At 43.3% G+C, this 19,071-nt stretch overlaps 1 protein-coding gene across 50 annotated transcripts in view, besides 4 other annotated features; it reads right to left on the bottom strand.

Annotated features, from left to right (window-relative positions):
• Nucleotides 1-19,071, bottom strand: part of LRRFIP1 (LRR binding FLII interacting protein 1) — a 154,057-nt gene that overhangs the window by 55,093 nt on the left and 79,893 nt on the right. For 15 of the 50 annotated variants that reach the window (XM_017005260.3, XM_017005262.3, XM_047446294.1 and 12 more), the window contains exons 2-6: nucleotides 17,921-18,007; nucleotides 12,275-12,292; nucleotides 8,742-8,789; nucleotides 6,984-7,028; nucleotides 5,729-5,779 (exon numbers count right to left, since the gene is read on the bottom strand). In XM_017005260.3, the coding sequence (XP_016860749.1) occupies nucleotides 5,729-5,779; nucleotides 6,984-7,028; nucleotides 8,742-8,789; nucleotides 12,275-12,292; nucleotides 17,921-18,007 (249 nt within the window). Of the gene's footprint in view, nucleotides 1-2,964; nucleotides 3,004-5,728; nucleotides 5,780-6,983; nucleotides 7,029-8,741; nucleotides 8,790-12,274; nucleotides 12,293-17,920; nucleotides 18,008-19,071 lie in introns of all 50 variants that reach the window. The other 35 variants (XM_047446310.1, XM_047446318.1, XM_047446301.1 and 32 more) reach the window with 3 other exon arrangements.
• Nucleotides 1,171-1,465: a silencer, noted in NCBI's record as "tiled region #7631; K562 Repressive non-DNase unmatched - State 23:Low". NCBI's record gives its function as "represses a minimal TATA promoter and a strong SV40 promoter by Sharpr-MPRA in K562 cells {active_cell/tissue: K562}" and the evidence as "EXISTENCE:reporter gene assay evidence [ECO:0000049][PMID:27701403]".
• Nucleotides 3,226-3,725: an enhancer, noted in NCBI's record as "H3K4me1 hESC enhancer chr2:238631469-238631968 (GRCh37/hg19 assembly coordinates)". NCBI's record gives its function as "activates a minimal SCP1, AML or CMV promoter by ChIP-STARR-seq in naive H9 embryonic stem cells {active_cell/tissue: H9 hESC(naive)}" and the evidence as "EXISTENCE:reporter gene assay evidence [ECO:0000049][PMID:30033119]".
• Nucleotides 3,726-4,227: an enhancer, noted in NCBI's record as "H3K4me1 hESC enhancer chr2:238630967-238631468 (GRCh37/hg19 assembly coordinates)". NCBI's record gives its function as "activates a minimal SCP1, AML or CMV promoter by ChIP-STARR-seq in naive H9 embryonic stem cells {active_cell/tissue: H9 hESC(naive)}" and the evidence as "EXISTENCE:reporter gene assay evidence [ECO:0000049][PMID:30033119]".
• Nucleotides 8,499-9,015: an enhancer, noted in NCBI's record as "H3K4me1 hESC enhancer chr2:238626179-238626695 (GRCh37/hg19 assembly coordinates)". NCBI's record gives its function as "activates a minimal SCP1, AML or CMV promoter by ChIP-STARR-seq in naive H9 embryonic stem cells {active_cell/tissue: H9 hESC(naive)}" and the evidence as "EXISTENCE:reporter gene assay evidence [ECO:0000049][PMID:30033119]".

The following is a 19,071-nucleotide window of genomic DNA, read 5'->3' as shown; positions in this document are numbered from 1 at the left end:
GGATTAAATGAGATGAAAATGAGTATCTCAAGCACCTAGAACAGTGCCCTCATGAATCACCAGCTGACTGGGTGGATACATGAATCCACATGGAAGGGGCCTGGCATATGGGAGGTGCTAAACATGGTTCCTTATCCGGGGGACGGGTGCTGTATAGCACATATTTTGCAGCCATGACATTAAAGTAGAAAAAAAAATTGAATTTCCAGACAGATTATAAATCCAGATTCATAAAACTTTGACTATCAAACTATATATTTATCTTTGCTGTAACTCAAAACAAATCAAGAAATCAATTTGAAGTTCTGAAACAAAAGGAGTGTAGAAATCCTTCCATATTAAATTTGAGAACTCTATGAGTAACATTAAAACATTTCTGAAATAAATTTAATAGTAAAAATCTTTGGAGATTGGCAAGAGTTTTACTCAGACTAATTTCCTTTCATGTCTTCAGCAACAAGATTATTTGACATGAAAATGCATGTCAAGGACTTGCAAATTTTAGATCTCAATCCCTTGTTATGTCTTCAGAAACTAGATTCCAGAAGAAATTAATAAAATAATGAAGGCTAATGTTAATCACTTTTAGATGACTTTGACTTTACTAACAAATGAGGAAGAGAAATGTATGACATAAGCAAGGCCTCTGGCTCTCCACTGCTGCTTATGAAATACATAGCTCTGTGGCGGAACCCTGTCCTTTGCACTGTAGTTCTCCAGCTCAGCCTGCAGCGACGGAGCAGAAGGCTGGGCAAGCTGGAAGCATGACAGTATCCTCTCATTTGTCACCTTTCCACTTACAGCCTTCTACGAAAACCTGGGAAAAACTGTTACTTTGCAGGAAAGCCTGCAAAGCAATTTCCATGACCAGGTCTGTGGTAATGGAATTCTATCATAAGGAACCTATTCCTGGGCTATGTTCCTAGAATGTATTCCCAAATCTATAGGATCTTGTTGACTATACCTCCATAGGGAGAAGTACTTTGACCTTCTTAAAGAACACTGCTAACTTTCTCCTCTTGGATGGTGTTTTTTTGTGTTGTATTTAGATGGGTGGGGCTGTTTTTACGTGGCATAAGAGGGCAAGGGGCATTGACAGTTAACTGAACAATATTAGAACAAAAGTCCATAGGCAGCATATTAACTTCATCTTAAGTTGGGTCTCTGATGTTCAACAAGCTTCGCTCTATTGTACTGTGTAGCTTTAAGTGGTACACAGGCTTGTTCACTTTGCTGGTTCCATGCTCCCAGGCTGGGTCTCACACCTGCTTCCTGGACACCTGGCATGCTTCCCACAAGCATGGGCCACTGCCTAGGGAATCAGGATACCTACAGAAAGGGCTCAGGAACAGGCACTCTAACAAGCTCTCCAGAAACACTGCCATAAGAGAGAATAAAATAAAGAGGACACACATAAGTTAGTATGTTCTAATACAGGATAAATAAGATACAAGGGTAAATGCCCTATGAAAACGGTAACTTGTGACTAGTCCGAATGCTAATGGCTACCACGCAGTGTTATCAAAGCGTCTGTGACCTTCCCATGGGACCACGCAAAAGTCCACTGCCAACTTTTTGGATGAATAATGTTAGATGTCTTTTCTACATGAGTCAAAAGACAGAGCACATGTAAAGGGCATTAGAGATGGAAAAGGAAACAAGGAAGGTGACGTCAAAACTCTGGAGTTCGATCCCTGATGCATTCTATTGAATTTTAAAAAAGAATTAAGACCGAAAAAAAAAATCCAAAATGTGTTCCTGACCATTGCTAACATATACATTTATCCCACTGGGGGCTAGCTCTTAAACAAAATTTACTTTGAATTTAACATAAAAAGAGTAATAATCTAGAAATATGTTGCTAACACATTGAATTCCTTAAAGAACAGGAGAGTTGCTGGAGTTACAGTGTCACAGAAATGCCCTCACCTGCCAGAGCGACTTGCAGTGCTCTGTAGGTAAGTAACAGATACTCTGTGAAGAGCGCTTTCTGAATCTAACGCCCTGTCTTTGTGCTTTCCCCTGTCCTGACTCCCGAGCTACTCACTCCAGCCTCTGCTCTTGTATCTGTTAAGAGCAGAACAGCCGTCCCACAGGAGGCTCAGGGCACCAAATATGCTATGCAGATGTATGCTACTATTGATTCACTATAATTGCAAACACAAAAATACATTTTTAAAACAAGAATTTACTAAATAATTTTGAAATGCACTGGAGCAAATGAAGCACAAACTGCTTTTAGGTAAAGTCCTTCAGGTGAAATAGTACATAATATGCTACAATAACTTCAGTATCGAATCACTTTAATGCTGAGCTGTGCTTTCTGAGAACTTTTTCTTCCTTGAAGTATAACACTGACAGACTTTTAGAAAGCATAAGGCACAGAAACTGTCAGAGACATATAAGAAGTAATTCTGAGTTTATGTCTAAAGCCTTAGTTTTTGTTACTGGAAGTTAGGAGTTTTCTCAAAGAATACTTTCTGGCAAAAAAAAAAAAAAAAGTCAGATTGTACATTTAATTTGAATGGATATAGACTGGAAAATAATGGATTTTTCATTAGGTAAAATGGCTTTACATTTAATCTTTTAAAGCAAATGTAGAGGCCTTGGGAATTCTTGATCTGATTTGAGTTCCTTGAAGGCAGACACTATCTTTTTCATCTTGGTATGCACAGCTGCTAACACAAGGCGTGGCAAACAGCTGGTGCTCAAAGGCCATCTGGTGAGGGAGTGTTCATGCACAGATGCCTGGGCTCCTCCCCTCCGGCAGGATCAGGGCTGCACCCTGGAGGCCCCAGGAGGAAGACTGCTCACTCTGCAGGGTAAGCCTGCCCTCCTGGCCTCATAGCCCCCCAGGCAAAAACTGGAGACAAAGCACCCATGAGATTCGTGGAAATACCACAGGTTATTATGGTCACACCACACAGTTAAGGTCACACAGCAAAGTATATCCGACCATCTCACCCAGGCGTAAGGACCCCCATACTCCAAGTCAGGCTGCGACTGTCAGAAGAAAGATGGCAGAAAAAAAAAACAACAGCAAAGAGAGTTGCCAAAAGTAAATTTAAAAGCTAAGTAAAACATAAATACAAGCAATCTTTAAAATCTTAACAAAAATGCATTTTTCCATAATTTCTAGGATCTAATATGTATTTACAAAAAGAATTATGTCAGAATGGTAGCTACCACAGAATCCAGTAGCATTCAATAAACTTCCATGGCAAAGGCTGCTATAATTCACAAAGTCTGAAACAGTTTGATAAATCTTATTTCCTCTTCTACATAATCCATTTTAGTTACAAAAGGGCAAAGGTTAACAGATGCACTGTCATCAATTTTCAAAAAGGAAAATTAAAAATCTAGATTTTCCAGAAAATCTAAACTCGAGAAATTCTAGAAAATCCAAAATCTAGACTTTCTGAGGAGGCATCCATACAAATTCCAGAGTAGTATAAATCACCTCCCCACCTTTTTTAGGGTTTATCATTTTTTCTAGCTAAATGAAGAAGGCCTGTGTTTTCAGAGTCAATAAATAAAAGATACGATCTTACAATCAAAAATGTAAAAAGTTCATAATATTAAAATACATAAAAACAGTAGAAACTGGCCCCGCATAGAAATAGAGCGAGATGCCAGTCCTCACTCTGGGGAGTGCCCTGTTCGGTGGTACAAAGGGGCAAGCATAGAGCCCAGGGAACCCAGCGCACGGAGGACACACAGCCCACCAGGGCCCTGAGCAGCAGGCACTGGCCTTGTTCCTAAGAACTGTGACCCCACGCAGGCCTCTTCACCACTCTGGGCTTGTTTGGTGCCTATAAACATTAGGAGGTTTGACTCTCATCTCCAGGATCCAAGTTCTTAAGTTCTGAGGAATATATTTCTTCAGATCAAGTACCTGATGGGAAAGTGTCATGTGGCTGAAAATGAAAATCCCATCCACTTCCTCCCCATCTTATGTACTGTCCTAATGGTGAACATCCTATAGGAAATTTCAGCTCTTAAAACAAATATACTTGATATCTCGGCAAAGAGTGGTGTCCAGCAGAAAGATGCAACTTATTTCTGGTTAAAAATCATTGAAAATGAAATGAATGCTGTTACATAACACCGTAATACTCGTTCATATTGCAATGGTTTTCAACTCTTCAGGGTCAGGAGACCCTCTGAGAATCTGAAGAAACTGAACATTCTTTTCCCAGGAAAATGTAAGTGCACACATCTTACATCTGAAATTGTGCCTACAATTTCAGGAGGGTGTGGCTCTGAAAATGATGCATTTTGAGAGAGACAGTTTGGGATTCTGTGCCTCTCTCCTCCTATTCTCTCTTGAACCCATATTAACCAGGTTTTGCCCTCAATATTTCCGTTAAAAGTTCTCCTGCCAAAGTGACTGACATCCTCTATACCGCTAAGTCTGAGTTTCCTCCTCTCTCGGTCGCTCCCCCTCATCCCTGAAACAGCATTTTCTTCACTGGTTTCAAGGACTCAAGCTTCTCCTGGGCCTGCTCAACAGCTGTGATGTCTGGGCCTTGTCTACAGACTTTGTCAATTGAGCTTTGCATTTATTCTATTTTGGATCCATAAATCTTCCCTCTTCTGGGGTGAGTGGGGTCAGACGGTCCCGAGGTAACGGTTACAACAGCATCCCTGAGGCTACATCTCAGGAGAAGGTTTCAAACAGCAAGGAAGCCCTCACGGGGCCTCACATTTGAACCACAGTTTTTTGGCAAAATCACTACGGATCTGCTTTTGGCACTGCAAGGACACTGACAAGGACAGAGTGGCTTCACAGCACAGCAACCGTGTTTCACCTCTGCATTTTATCATTGGGAAGGGCCAAATTACATGCACACTCAGTGCATGTATAAGAAGTCAAGGAGTAATAGGATTTAATTGCCACAGTGAAGAGAAACAAGCCTTCAGCTCTATGTGGTCCCTAAGGATTAATAAAGCGAGTGGCTGCTTTGAGATTTATTTATTACTAGCGGTGAGATGTAATTTCAATCCTGCAGTAAAAGAAACTGACATGCTCAGGTTAATTCACTGATTTAAAGCACTGAGCAAAACATAGTTTTTCTATTTTACTTCCCCCCAAACTCACACTTTTTTCAAGTATAATTATTAAGGTTTCTGGAATGTTTAAGGAAAAGTCCATATTTGTGTTGATTAACCATTAAGCCTATCAGTGGTAAAGAGATCTAATTATAACTGATACAAGGAAAAGCGGCTGAAGGCAGACCTTACGGATCCAGTCCTGGTCCAGGTTTTCAGCAGGCAGTCTATAGTGGCTATGCCAAAACATTGCTCAATAATAATTAACTTACAGCTACTTTAATAGAGGTTCCGATTTTACCAGGAGCATGGGTGTCAGTGGATACAGACTTACTAAAGGGCAGACGCGCCTTTGCATTCCTGTGGAACACCAATGTGCTGAGACAACTGTGCTAATCAAGGCTTGGGAGCTTTGTGATGTGGATAAGTATTGAAAAAAAGATGACTTCATCTCGGGAGAAAGAAACAACCAACGTGCCTATGCATATAAATCATCTCTCTACAGCAACAAAGAAACATCCCCCATTGATTTGATTTTAAGTAAGCATCTCATCGGTTAAATATTGACTATCAGACCACGGGGATAATGAAGAAGAAATCAGAATGCGGGGATGAGAAAGTAAAGGGCTTGGACCAGAAACTGTGCCATGCAAACTCCATCATTCTGGTTACTGACCCTCAGGCTTCCACGACTACCCACTGACATGCGCTCGTCTTCATCAGAAGCCTATTAAAAGAAAGGACGAGAACAACCGTGAAGGAATCATACAACATACATGAAGAACCAGTGCCCAAGTTTCAGGGGGATGCTGGGAACTGACCCCAACCCACAGCAGTGAGGGGGCCAGCCACCCCTGGACATCTCAGGGGACACCAGTCTAGGTCCTCCACAGCATGGGCTTTGTGGATCTCTGTCTGCTTATGGGCAATATGGATTTAAAGTAATTTCAGGGCCAGGTGTGGTGTCATGCCTGTAATCCCAGCATTTTGGGAGGCCGAGGCAGGCAGATCACTTGAGGTCAGGAGTTTGAGACCAGCCTGGCCAACAAGGCGAAACACTCTGTCTCTACAAAAAATACAAAAATTAGCCGGGTGTCATGGCACGTGCCTGTAATCCCAGGTACTCAGGAGGCTGAGGCATGAGAATCACTTGGACCCACGAGGCAGACATTGCAGTGAGCCAAGACTGCACCACTACACTCCAGCCTGGGCAATAGAGCAAGACACCATCTCAAAAAAAAAGTAATTTCAGGGCCAGGCACGGTGGCTCATGCCTGTAATCCCAGCACTTTGGGAGGCCGAGGTGGGCAGATCACTTGAGCCCAGGAGTTCGAGACCGGATTGGGCAACATAGGGAAACTCCGTCTCTACCAAAAATACAAAAATTAGTCAGGTGTGGCGGCAGGCGCCTGTAGTCCCAGCTACTTGGGAGGCTGAGACACGAGAATTGTTGAACCTGGGAGGTGGAGGTTGCAGTGAGCCAAAACCGCACCACTGCATTCTAGCCTGGGTGACAAAGCGAGACTCTGTCTCAAAAAAAAAAAAAAAAAAAAAAAAAGTAATTTCATCCAAGTAGTATTCTTTATCTCACGGGTAATATAAATACACAGCATTGGTGTATATTACTATGCAGATTATTTATGGGTATTCAATGGCACAAAAAGCACTACAGCTGTCATGAATATATTAATACTGAAAAATTTCTCAAACACACTCTCCTTATCAAATTTAGGTCAAAATGCTAAAAGCTAAGTTCATAGTCTTTATTTAGGTAATAATATCAGTATTCTATCATTAATAGTATTAGTTAATTTCTTTAAGAGATGATATCATCATTAAGAGATTGAATATATTATATATACTTCAGCCACTGCAAGCATAAATTAGAATTCAATCAAATTGCCCAAGTAATGAATGAACACGGTACTAACCGATGTGTTTCTTCTGGATCTACGAGAGTAGCGCTCACTGTCTTCCTAACAATGAAGAAACAGCATGAAAAGGTTAGAGACAGATGGACACAGGAAAAGTGCTTTAAAAAAGCTTAGGTAGTCCCACTGCACCATAATACAGCAGTTCTGATCTAAATGTCACATAAATATTTTCTTTGCCTTCATTTAAAGGCTTTAATTAAACCAGTGGGTAAAAATGTTTTTTTCTGGGGTGGGAGGTTCTTAAGCACAAAAATAATTTGCATACTTCATTTTTGTTGTAAAAACAGTGTTTGGGGCAGAAGCTGGGTCTTAATTTTTTTCTAACCTCTATCATCTGATCCATTTAAATCAATCTACTTTTCCCCTTACTTTCAGAACCTCACTCTCTTCGGGAATCAGAAGATAAATCATTTCCACACAATATCCGAAAAGGATGTCACTCTTTCTACTATGTATTGTGGATTCTAAGACACACACGGTTTTTCACACTTGGACATCTCTGAAGCTGGGGATGTATCTTATAATCCAAGTTGCTCAGTTATAATTAGCATTTTTTCTTTCTCAGTGGTATATAAAACAATGATACAACTTCAAAGAATGTGTAAAGATTTTTTAAATATTTCTTTTCTTTTTTTCTCTTTCTTATATCACCATGCCTGTGGACAGAAATGTCTTAAGATTTAACAAAAATACATTTATGTCATGTAAGCCTAAAATGATGGTTTGCCTAGGCTGAATGTAATCATATTTTCAATACAGTAAGTGTGTGCTCTGTATATCTGAAGAGCGAACCTCTTTTATACCCAGTACGTAAGATGTTAGGAAATAATTTTGGATTTTCCTCAGATCATTTTATGTATAAGGAACATTTAATAGGACATTTCCATCCTGGCCAGGTTCTCAAATGCTAAAAGCATGTGATGAAGTCCACGAGGCCAGGCAATAAAGCAAAAGGGACAGGAAGAGGTAGAAGGACTCGGGTAGAGGAACTAACGAGAAGGGCCAGGCCACTCTCTCTCGGGACCAGTGGAAAGCACACAGATTGTGCCCCTTCCGCAGCCTCCCTATGTGGGTGCCGCTGCTTCCTGAGAAAGCCAGAAGGACAGGAGTATCATCAGGGGCAGGCTAGCTCTCCATCCACAGGAAGGCAGAGGGGCTGTTCTAGGAAGCAGGTGGAGAAGGTAAAGGAGTTTTCTTACCAAAGACCAGTGGTTTCGGCAGGCACAGCGGACAAGATGAAGAGAGAACCCAACAGCAAATGCAGATAAAGTCTAAATGAGGGCGATGGGGCAGCTGGTCGTAATCATGAGTGAAGGAAATGGAGCATAATGTACCTCTCAGGTTCCAACCACAGCCTGGTGAGCTGCGAAGCCAATGGGAATGTTCTCTGGAAAGTTCTCAAGCCAGGGGCGCATGCCCAGCCCGAGTCCTGGTGGAGAGCCCTGTGCTCGAGGAGATCAGGGCGGCTGTGGTAGTGGAGACCTCCCCAAACTGCTGGCCAGGAGACATCAGCAGTCAGTGGCTACCAAACAGGCAAGACCAGGACTGTTTCTAAGCAGGCTGCGTTTGGGGATGTAAACAGAGACCAGATGCAGAAATCCCCGGAAGAAAATCTCTCAGTATTAAATTATGGTGCAATAGGAATCTATCTACATAGTTAAACTGCGTAAGAATTACATTATAAACCATTTAAGTCTCAACACTGTATTCAAGTGGGGAGGGAAGAGTAAAAACAAAATTATATTCAAGGCCTACCATCCACTGCTCGATGTCACCCCATTTTGTATCCAGCCCATAATATTTCTATAGACAGAAGGGAAAGAAAATTAGGCAAGAAGTGAAATTTCTTAAAAAGGCAGTTGTCTAAGGCACTGTTCTGACATGCATTTCCAAACCGCCATCCAGCCGTGTGGTGAAGGTAACACGCCAAGGCAAAGCAGTCGGCACCAGGCCTGGCTTCTCCACAGGGACCGCCACCCGTGCAGTCATGCAGGCTGTGAGCTGTGAAGAGAGATCCTCCCAGCCCACCCCATCCCGGCAAAGCAAGAGAGCCCAGGACGAAGCTTCCCCAGGTGAAGGGCCTCGGGGGAGAGCAGGACAGTAAAGCCGGCCCAGCAGCCTTCACGCCCCCTCCAACAGGCTGCTCATGCCTTCAAAGCAAACGCGATGAAGGAATAAAACACCATCGAAGAGAAGCAGAAGCTCAGAGCCATTCCGGTGTTGGGACCTCAGGGAAACTGAGAGGAGAAGGGGAGAAACTGCGTGCTGACGCTTGTTCTAGCTGCCTGATGTCTATGCTGAGTCTAGGCCTGTGAGAATTCATAGACTTTGCTGTCTTTGTAGCAGGGATGGAGAGATGACTGCCACCTACAGAAGAGGTCTTTGTACAGAAGAAAAATATGCAGACCCACAAGTTATGTATGTCTGGAGGTGACATTAGCTCAGGGGTGTCCAATCTTTTGGCTTCCTTGGACCACACTGGAAGAAGTGTCTTGGGCCACACATAAACTACACTAACGATAGCTGATAAGCTAAAAAAAAAAAATTGCAAAAAAAATTTCATAATGTTTTAAAAGAGTTTACGATTTGTGTTCAGCTGCATTCATAGCCATTCTGGGCTGCATGTGGCCCGCAGGTTGGACAAGCTTGCTTTAGCTTATACTTCCATGTTTTTATCCTGTTCAGTGGTCCAAGTTAAAATGAGAAAAGCAGATTCAGAACGGCTACTGCTGCCACTCAATCAGGGAATCCCAAAGGTAGGTGGGAAGCCAGGTCATGGGCCCAAATAATGGGGTTTTGCTTCTCTCCTTTTTATTTAATTTCCAGTAAGAAAATCAAGAAACAACTAAGCAAACTTCCGTATCATTATAACACAGATGTGAGTTTTCTCTTCATACATTAAAATCTTATAATCAAGAGAAAAAATCAGGTGCTAGAAATACAAGACCATTTTTGAAATTGTTTTACAATAACCAAAAACATGCTGTTGCTATGTTTGGTTTTGTTTCATTTCGAAGGGCGGCCAGATTTAAAAATAAGCAGTTTTCAGACGGTCTTATCTCTTTCTCTTAGAGGTGACAGTAAGTAGAAAATTGGAAGAGCAGAAATTAGGAGGGAGAATTTAACAATACTTTTAAAAATTCAATAATACAAAAAGGACATGAGTACAAAAAGGACAAAAAAGACAAAAAGGACATGAGCCATATCTTTTTCTGTAGGTTATTCCCTTGGAATATAAATTCAGAAAGGAAATAAAAACAAACATCCCAAAGTCATGTTTTAACTTCAATGTCAGGGAAATGCATCAGCTTAAAGCTATTTTGCATTCAATTAATGTTAGCACCTGCCAAGTTCCAGATTTTTCACAAGTAAAATATGATGCCATCACTCCTCCCTTATTTTTTGGCTTAACTAGAAAGAGGGAAGCAAAATATGTTTTTAGAAGGATGGGGGCTATATAAATTCACAATAAAATTATTTAAATTCCAAAAGAATCTGTACTGTCAGTTTTTCTGTTTTCATAGATTTCTTTTTGCCCATTATATCTGCACACTCTAACTTGCTCTTTTCATGACAAAGGACCAGTTCTGAAAATCTTTCACCTCGTTCATGGGTGGTCTTATAAGTGGCTACTGTAACTGCATTTCCATGTCATTCCTGGGGAGAGAACGCCCCTAGTAACAGCAAGTGCAATTAACTAGTAGTTCCTGGGTTAGCCAGCAGCACTAGCACAGCAAAGTCCAGGAAGGGCAAACATTTCAAACGTCAATCACTACCATGATCCGGAAGCCATGCGGAGGGAAGCAGGAGCCGCGCTACTTTCAGAAATAGCTTTGATTCCAGAGAAACTGTTCCGCAAAGCAGCTGGCTGGGCCGGAGGCGCAATCGCCGCCTCCTCTCCTCCCCAGACATCTCAGCAATGAGGAAAGCCTTCCCTTCCCTGGGCACACCTTTACTACAAAACTGTGCCTCTGCTCCTCCACTGCAGGTTTCCGGGGCTCCTTCTAGCTTCACATTCTACACAAATTCACATTCTGACAAAGTTCTCACAATGTATCCCTGGCACGTTAGTAAAAAGAAAATAATGTGACCTAGCACAAGAAAGGCATGAATGCAAGTGGAAACGACCAGATAGAGCCCCTCTTCCAGGTTTTGGATGAGAGCGTCCTGCTGTCAGTTACAGGGAGGGCTCCCCGCCTGGCCTTGCACCTGTCCAGTTCTTCCCGAGGCTCTCTGAGGACGACCAGGAACTCCAGCTGCAATATCCATTTCTACACTTGGGCCCTGGAAACACTAGTCAAGCACAAGAGATTCTGGCATCTACTTAACAAATTTCTTTGCACTCTTCGGGACAGCAGCTATGCAGAGTGCAGGGCTCCAGCAGGGAAGGCGATTCGTCATCATGGCCAGCACAGGAATCCAACACAACAGGCTCTTAAATTTACTGCCCGTGCATTCCGAGGCCTGTGTGCTCTAACCTCCGAAATTAAGTGATCTTATTCTGATTTTCTCATCTGCTCTAAGAGAAAAATACAGTTGTTGTCTAGAAACTAAATTTATAAAAGGAAACTATCACAGATGTTTTAAGTATCAAACTAAATTCATTTATGGGAAAGACTCCCGTGTATACAAATTCTATAAATTCTCAAGGAACTCGCTCACTTCTGACTTCATTTTTGCTAGATCTTGAATCACTGACTTGCTTGTCTTTATTTTCTGTATCTGGCCTGCCCAGTGTATTTACTTCTAAACCTCAGCTGCTTCTACAAAATACTAGGAAACAGAGAGGCACGTCATTTTATGATCTCTGAGCATTAGGGATGAATGGCAGGTTCATTTTATATCATCACTGTCCTTTTACTCAGATTTTTAACTCAATATCTAATAATCTCTCAATGTGTGGTAATTTGTATGGAATTTTTTAAGTTTTCTAATAAAATCATCTTTTTCTTTCCATACATAATTTCAGAAGGCTATCCACATTCTGAAATATAATTTTGCCTTAGAATTACTTTTCTTCTCAAAGAAACAATTTTTACATTTCTTGAGGAAAATGCAGATGACAAAAGCATTCAGTACACAGAAATGTGTCTGACTGTTGCTTTGAGTGGGGCAAGATGAGGATCTAGGCATTCTTGTTCAAACAAATTCATACACAAAGTAGTAAAATAAACAGTAAGAACTTCTATGTATCTTCAGTGCAAGGTGTTATTTCTGAAAGGTGACCAGGCCCTTGGCAAGGAAAAAACAGTACATGCAAGTTAGAAAATAAAGAAAGAAGAGCCTACCTTTTGGACCTGATAGATCTATAGAGAAGGACAGAAGAAAAAAGAAATGTAAAATCCAATTAAAGAAGCAGTAACATCAGAATGAAAGGTTCTGTAAGTAACTAGACATATGAATCAAGTCACAACGAATACAGTAAAATGTGAATAAGAAAACAGGTGAGGTCCCACTGACAAGAGTTTGTAATTTTATCACTTACTTTACATTTCATTTTAGATACATTGGGGAAATAGGGGCATAGCCACACGAATCTTACCAAAAATACTGCTATTATTCTAATACAGAAGTCTGTATAACCTATTGCCATCAATGAGAAAAAGTACTTCCTTCATCTTTAATTCAGAATTTCTTTTTGCGGTAATAAAAGTTTAATCAAAAAGTACAGAAACTTAATTGGAAAGTTAACTGGTCAAATTCACAAATAATGAAGAAAGAGGCTTTGATGTTCTGATTCACACAGACACACACAGAATAACAGGAAAATTCCAGCTAAATGGAGTGATCATTAGAATATAACAGAAATATTCCTAAAAGAGGTTATTATCATACATTGACATATTCGTTTGCTTCAGAGGTTTCTTTTAATTTTGTAGTAATCACTAGATAAAACTGAGATAGCTACTCATTTTCATTCATTCATTCATTCATTCATTAAGACATTTGTCATATCAGGCATTATTGAAGGCACTGCCAAAACTGCGAGACCAAGAAGTTGGCATTTCTAGTCTTATATGGGGGAACACATGTGACTACATCCAACAATATGACTGTAAGAAACAAAGCATCTCTAACCAAAATGTTTATCAAGTCAGCAGCAAGAAAAGAGAAATGATCACCATTTTCTTCTATCAGTGTAGGTTCTCCCTAAGAAGTTCAAGGTTCACTTGAATTTCCCAAGAATATGTACATTATTCTCCCCTAACAAATCCATTAAAAAAGAGCTCATATCCTTTTAAACAGACCCCGGAACGCAGCTAGAGTAAGCTGTAGTGGGTTCTCGCCGTCTGTGTGCTGAAAAGAACCATTCAAGAAAGAGAGCTCAGGGTGGGCTAGAGCTGGCCTGGAGTCTGATAATGCTGTGGGGACAGGGCTGCCCCCGACACTGGTGTCTCCTCGCCACCTCCCCTCTCCGTACACGCTCCATGCTTTCCTTGGGGGATACCAACCCCGGTCAGCTTCCTGCCCTTCTCGGTGTTCTCAGAGCGGCCCCCTCAAGAAAACCCTGAGCCTGCTCAGAAACGCCTGCATGCAGGTGGGATGGCTTGTGACCCCGATGAAAACAGGGATCAGGTTTCTCAATTTTTACACCAAAGTATCAACCCTACCCTTTAAACACTGGTCTTCCAAAACGTATTCATTTCCCCTTAATCAACAACTTAAAATGCCAGTGCCCCAAGCTACCAGATTGTATAACCTCAAATTATGTTAGCTGGTTCTAATAATAGCCAGGCCCAGAGATGTGATATGCAAAGAAGAGCGTGAGGGAGGTGTCGTCAGTGCACCTTCCCAAATCCTCCAGGCATGGCCCGAAGACGTGCAAGCTCAGACCCCACTAGCTCGACTCACTCTTCCCTCTGGATGCATACACAGATGCTCACGTGTGTGAGCGCACATGCACACACATGCACACACACATGCACACGCACACACACGAATGCGTGCGCACACACGAGTACATTCCTCCTGGCCTCTGCCCCACCCTTTGGGTCACATAAAAGCACAGCTAGGTGAAAGCTACTCATTCTGTATTTATAGAAAATTCTAAGAAAATTGTATATTTTATGTTTCATATTCCTGTGCCTCAAATTCCACACCAAGGAGAACTTTATTTTTCAAGGCATGCTTCCACTTGGAAAGTGACTAGGATTATGTGGATCATTCTGTTTCCCCCTTTGCTGTGCGTGCCAGCGTCCTCAATGTGAACTTCAACCCCATGGCCCACGGATTCACTCCCTCCTCCACTCTTGTTTTTATTGTTGGTACAGAACTGATTTTGAGACAGAGGGGTGAGCTAGGAAGACCACAGGCTTTGTATCTGGTCAAATCTGATTTGAATCTTGGCTTGGCTATTTTCTTGGATTTGGGGAAAACTGTGTATCTCCCTAAGGCCTGTTTTCCTCACCTGTAAAGTTTGGGAAGATGCCCGTCACCAGTGGTAGGTGACAGCACCAAGCCCAGCTCTGCCACACGGCAGGAGCTCTGGGATGTCCCCCCGCCCCAGGCTTCTCTGACTAGTCACGAAATACACATCTATCTTATTTAAGATCTTTCGATCCCTCTTTTGAAGAAGCAGACATAAACTTTAAACAGGAATGCTGCCGCCTTGCAAAGACCCGAAATTCATGAAGGCACCGTTGCCGCCGTTAGGAACGCGTGCTGCGCTGGGCTGACTGGGCTGGCCCTTCCTCGTCTGGCTCTCGTCTCCCAGGGCAGCTTCCTGTCTGCCATGTCCATCCTCTGCTGCCACAAGGAGTGGCTTCCCCACCCCCCGGTAGAGCTGCTTCACTCGGTGTCCTCACTCACCATCTTGGCCACGTTCATTTCTCTGCCCCTCCTGACATGTCCCCCACCTTCCCAGGCTCTCATTCCACAACCTGGTAAATTTGGGTGGCTCTGGCTCCTGGTCCGTGACCAACCCCAGGCAGGAGTCCACAGCCGCGCCCACGACGCCCGCCCTGTGTCACAGCCGCAAGCCACGGTCGTGAGGGAAGAAGTGCAGGCATCGGTGATGAGGAAGCCGAGACTGCAGATCCACAGAGGACCGTGCAAAAGGTGACGTTGGCCAAAGGTGCTGCCTGCAAGGGACACCACCCCCTCCTCCGGTCCCTGCTGGTGAGAGCACAGACCAAAACCACCGCTCTCAGTGGCGGATGTTCCGCCGAATTTGCAACAGGGCGAGATATCTTGACCCCTGTGACCCCTGAAATATCTTTATGATAAAACCATGCTGTAGGGAGAAGAATTTCAAAATGTGAATGCCATCTACTAAGCAAATGACATCTGTACTCATGCTGAAGAAGGCAAACCATGGCGTTTTACGTGAGACTTCCCGATTTCATCAGATGTTCTCCGCAAGGCCTGTGCTCATCAGAAGCATCAGTGAGGGCTGCCCTGCACCCCTTTTTCATGATACTAAAATTAAATGCCCAAGACTTGGTTTCCCATCTGGAGTAGCAACTACTTTTTATTTTTTTACTTTTTGAAAGAGATAGGGGTCTCATTATGTTGCCCCAGCTGGAGTGCAGTGGCTACACACAGGGACAATCATGGCCCGATCATTGCTTCAGGCTCCTGGGCTCAAGCAATGCTCCTGCCTCAGTGTCCTGAGTAGCTGGGACTACAGGTGCATGCCACCACGCCTGGCTTATTTTTTATTTTTCTTTTCGTGTGGCTGGGAATATTACAACAGAGACGTGGGAGTCCAGCAACAGATGGTTCTTAAACTGCACAATTAAAATGCAACAGAAAAGGGCTTCCTTTCAATCAAAGGAATAAAGGGATGCTTTGCTTTTAAAGGGGGCCATTCAAATCGATGACTGCTTGCCTTAATTCATCTTAGTTATTTTTAAATCAAGAACTTTTGCCCAACAACTTTGTAACAAGCTGCTTATATCAATATGTATATGTTTAAATCAATTCTAATTGGTTATATCTTATATCAATATGTATATATTTAAATCAATTCTAATATGGGGCCGGTGTGATGGCTAACACCTGTAGTCCCAACACTTTGGGAGGCTGAAACGGGGGAATCACCCGAGGTCAGGAGTTGGAGACCATCCTGGCTAACACGGTGAAACCCCATCTCTACTAAAAATGACAAAAAAATTAGCCGGGCATGGTGGCGGGTACCTGTAGTCCCAGCTACTCAGGAGGCTGAGGCAGGAGAATCGCTTGAACCCAGGAGAGGGAGGTTGCAGTGAGCCAAGATCATGCCACTGCACTCCAGCCTGGGCGACAAAGCAAGATTCTGTCTCAAAAAAAGAAAAAAAAAAGGATACAATCAATACGTTTTTATCTAAATGTGTCTGTATGAACAGACACATTCTACAGAGACACTGATACTGGGCAGTGTGAAAAAGCACCTGAGATTTTGTCATTTAAAATACATATATTTAAGCCAGGTGTGGTGGCTGATGCCTGTAATCCTAGCACTTTGGGAGGCCAGGAGGTCAAGGCGGGAGGATCACTTGAGATCAGGAGTTTCAGACCAGTCTGGCCAACATGGTGAAACCCCGTCTCTATTAAAAATACAAAAATTAGCCAGGCATGGTGGTGCGCACCTATAATCCCAGCTACTTGGGAGGCTGAGGCATGATAATCGCTTGAATCTGGGAGGTGGAGGTTGCAGTGAGTAGAGATCATGTCACTGTACTCCAGCCTGGGCGATAGAGCAAGACTTGATCTCAAAAAAAAAAAAAAATTATACATATACATATTTAAAAACCAGTTCAGAATAAAAGCACTATTCCTTCTAGTGGCCTCTGGCACCACTATGGATACCAGAGCTTGAGTGTGCAGGATGGTTCCAGGGCTTGGTGACACTGCCTAGCCTCTGCATGCAGGTTTCTACATGGAGCGGCAAACTCCTAGCAGCGGAGGGCAATGAGCACATTAGACCTGTGGCAGGGCCCTGACCCTGCAGGGTATGTGGCCAGCTTGGTCTTTGCTGGGAATGTGGCGGAATCTACAACCACCATAAGAGAATCTGGAAATTCAGATTTTTATCCGAAATCTCACTGGTTTTAAACACTGGCTCGCCTTTTTAAATTTGGCTATGTAAGCCAAACAACAACCTGTGTATTAAAATCAACCCTGGGGAAGGCAGCTGGTTACTTCTGTCTAACAAAATAAATTCACATCTTCTTAAGAAGAAAAGCTCTTGGGGGTGGGCTCAGTGTGGATGGTCCCTTGGCCCCACAGGGCATGGCCCACGGGAGAACATGGACTGAGTGGGGGTCTCAGCTTCTATGTCTCTGAGGTCACAGAAAAAGTCACACCATAACTGTGAGTTAAAGAACCCTTATGCTGTCAGAAATGACTCCTAGCTCCAGCTCAAGATGATGAAAATAACTTGCAAATGGCTTGAGCAGGTGTGTCAACACATTGCTAGCCATTTTCCCAGGGAGGAATTTCTTCCTGGCTGTTTCATCCATGTGTTCATTCCCGTCTCTCTATCACACACGGGCTCTAGATATCCTGAAACCTGGAGCCCGTGTGTGATCAACACTGTACAAACCACGGGGGACATATTTTTAAATAAAACAATTTGGCCAGTTTAAAAACTCATTAATCCGTTCTTCTTTTCCACTTTAATCCAGAGGATCTAGATTCTAGTACAACAGTTAGACCTTAAAGCTCAGACCCTGAACATTTTGGCTCCTCGCAGCTAGAAACGACGATCTGCGCAGGCAAGAGGCTTCTAAGCCCCTCTCAGGAGCCAGCAGGTCTGAGCAGGCACGCCTGGTATCCGTGCTATGCGCACTCCTGGCCTGACCTTGGGCAGAAGTCACAGGCGCAAACGCACTCTGACCGTGAGCAACGTGAGACAGCCAGGTGCGTCTGCAGCAACAGGTGCCTGCACTTGCACCCTGGGCCCAGCACGCAAATCACTGTGAAAAGACCCAACAAGGAGCCCCAAGCGTTACCTCCTTCTGCTGCCGCTCCAGCTCCTTCATGCGGATCTCGCGAGCCTCCGCGCGGGCCGCCCGTTTTGCAGCGAGCCGGGCTTCCGCCTGAAACGGACAGGGCATCTTATTAGAGGACAGAGCAGCGGGCACCTTCCCAGTACAGGGTCAGCAGTGATGATGCGGAAAGAAAATCTTGTTCAGAGTTTAACAGATATACAGCAATAAATTCCAGATTCATAGAGTAAAAGGGTGGTCAGGAGCAATAGAAATAGTTATAAGAACTGCTACCATTTATCAAGTCCTTACCACATGCTAGGCAGGAATATTCTAAGAGCTTTATGGATATGATGCCATGTATTCCTTGCAACAGCCTCATTAGGCCGAGACTGTTACCATCCCCAGTTTAAATATGAGGGAACGAAGGCACAGAGAGGGTAAGTAACTTGCCTAAGGTCACACAGCCTGTAGGTGGCAGGGCTGGGCAGTCAGCCTCCTTCTGGAGCTCTGACAGATGCATGGAGCAGAGTGTTAACAGCTGGATGCTACTCCAGGTTTCCAGTTCAACCCCTCGCTTTACAGAGCAGAAAGTGAAGGCCTGGAGAGGCTGCCAGACCCATCTGAGGCCATAGGGCTGGCTGGCGTGGAGCTGGGACTGTAATCCCAGCGAACTGCTGTCCAGTCACTTCTCAGCACACACGCACCCTCAGCTTCCCCTTAAAACACAGCCGTGCTGGGAGTCCACCTTTTCCCAACACAATGAAGATCATAGCAGAACGGTTCTAGCTGTTGGAGTCCTTCCTTGCACTAAAAAAATCAGCCTCCATATAAGTATTTTTCAGCTTGTAGCTGTTCTGCCACATTCTGCTCCGTGAGAACGTTTCAAATGCTTGAGCAGGAATGGACATGATGCTATCGAGCCTGGCATCTGAACTGTTTCTACAAACAACTTACAAGTCATTTTAAAAACTGCATGCGTATTCACTGCTTCATGTGATACCACAGCCCCGTAAGCTCGATGGCATAAGTGTTACTGAGTGCAGGTTTTCTGGTATCAAACAAACCCCACCCTCTTTCTACTGAAGTGTTTTTTGAGAATACGTCTGTAATCCTTCCAACAATGGTTCTATAAACAGTTTTCAGACGTCTTACATAATCTTTTCCTTTTTTTC

This window comes from Homo sapiens, chromosome 2 (assembly GCF_000001405.40).
Source record: "Homo sapiens chromosome 2, GRCh38.p14 Primary Assembly".
NCBI lineage: Eukaryota > Metazoa > Chordata > Mammalia > Primates > Hominidae > Homo > Homo sapiens.
The sequence above is the reverse complement of the archived record's forward strand: the minus strand, read 5'-3'. Positions and strand labels throughout refer to the sequence as shown.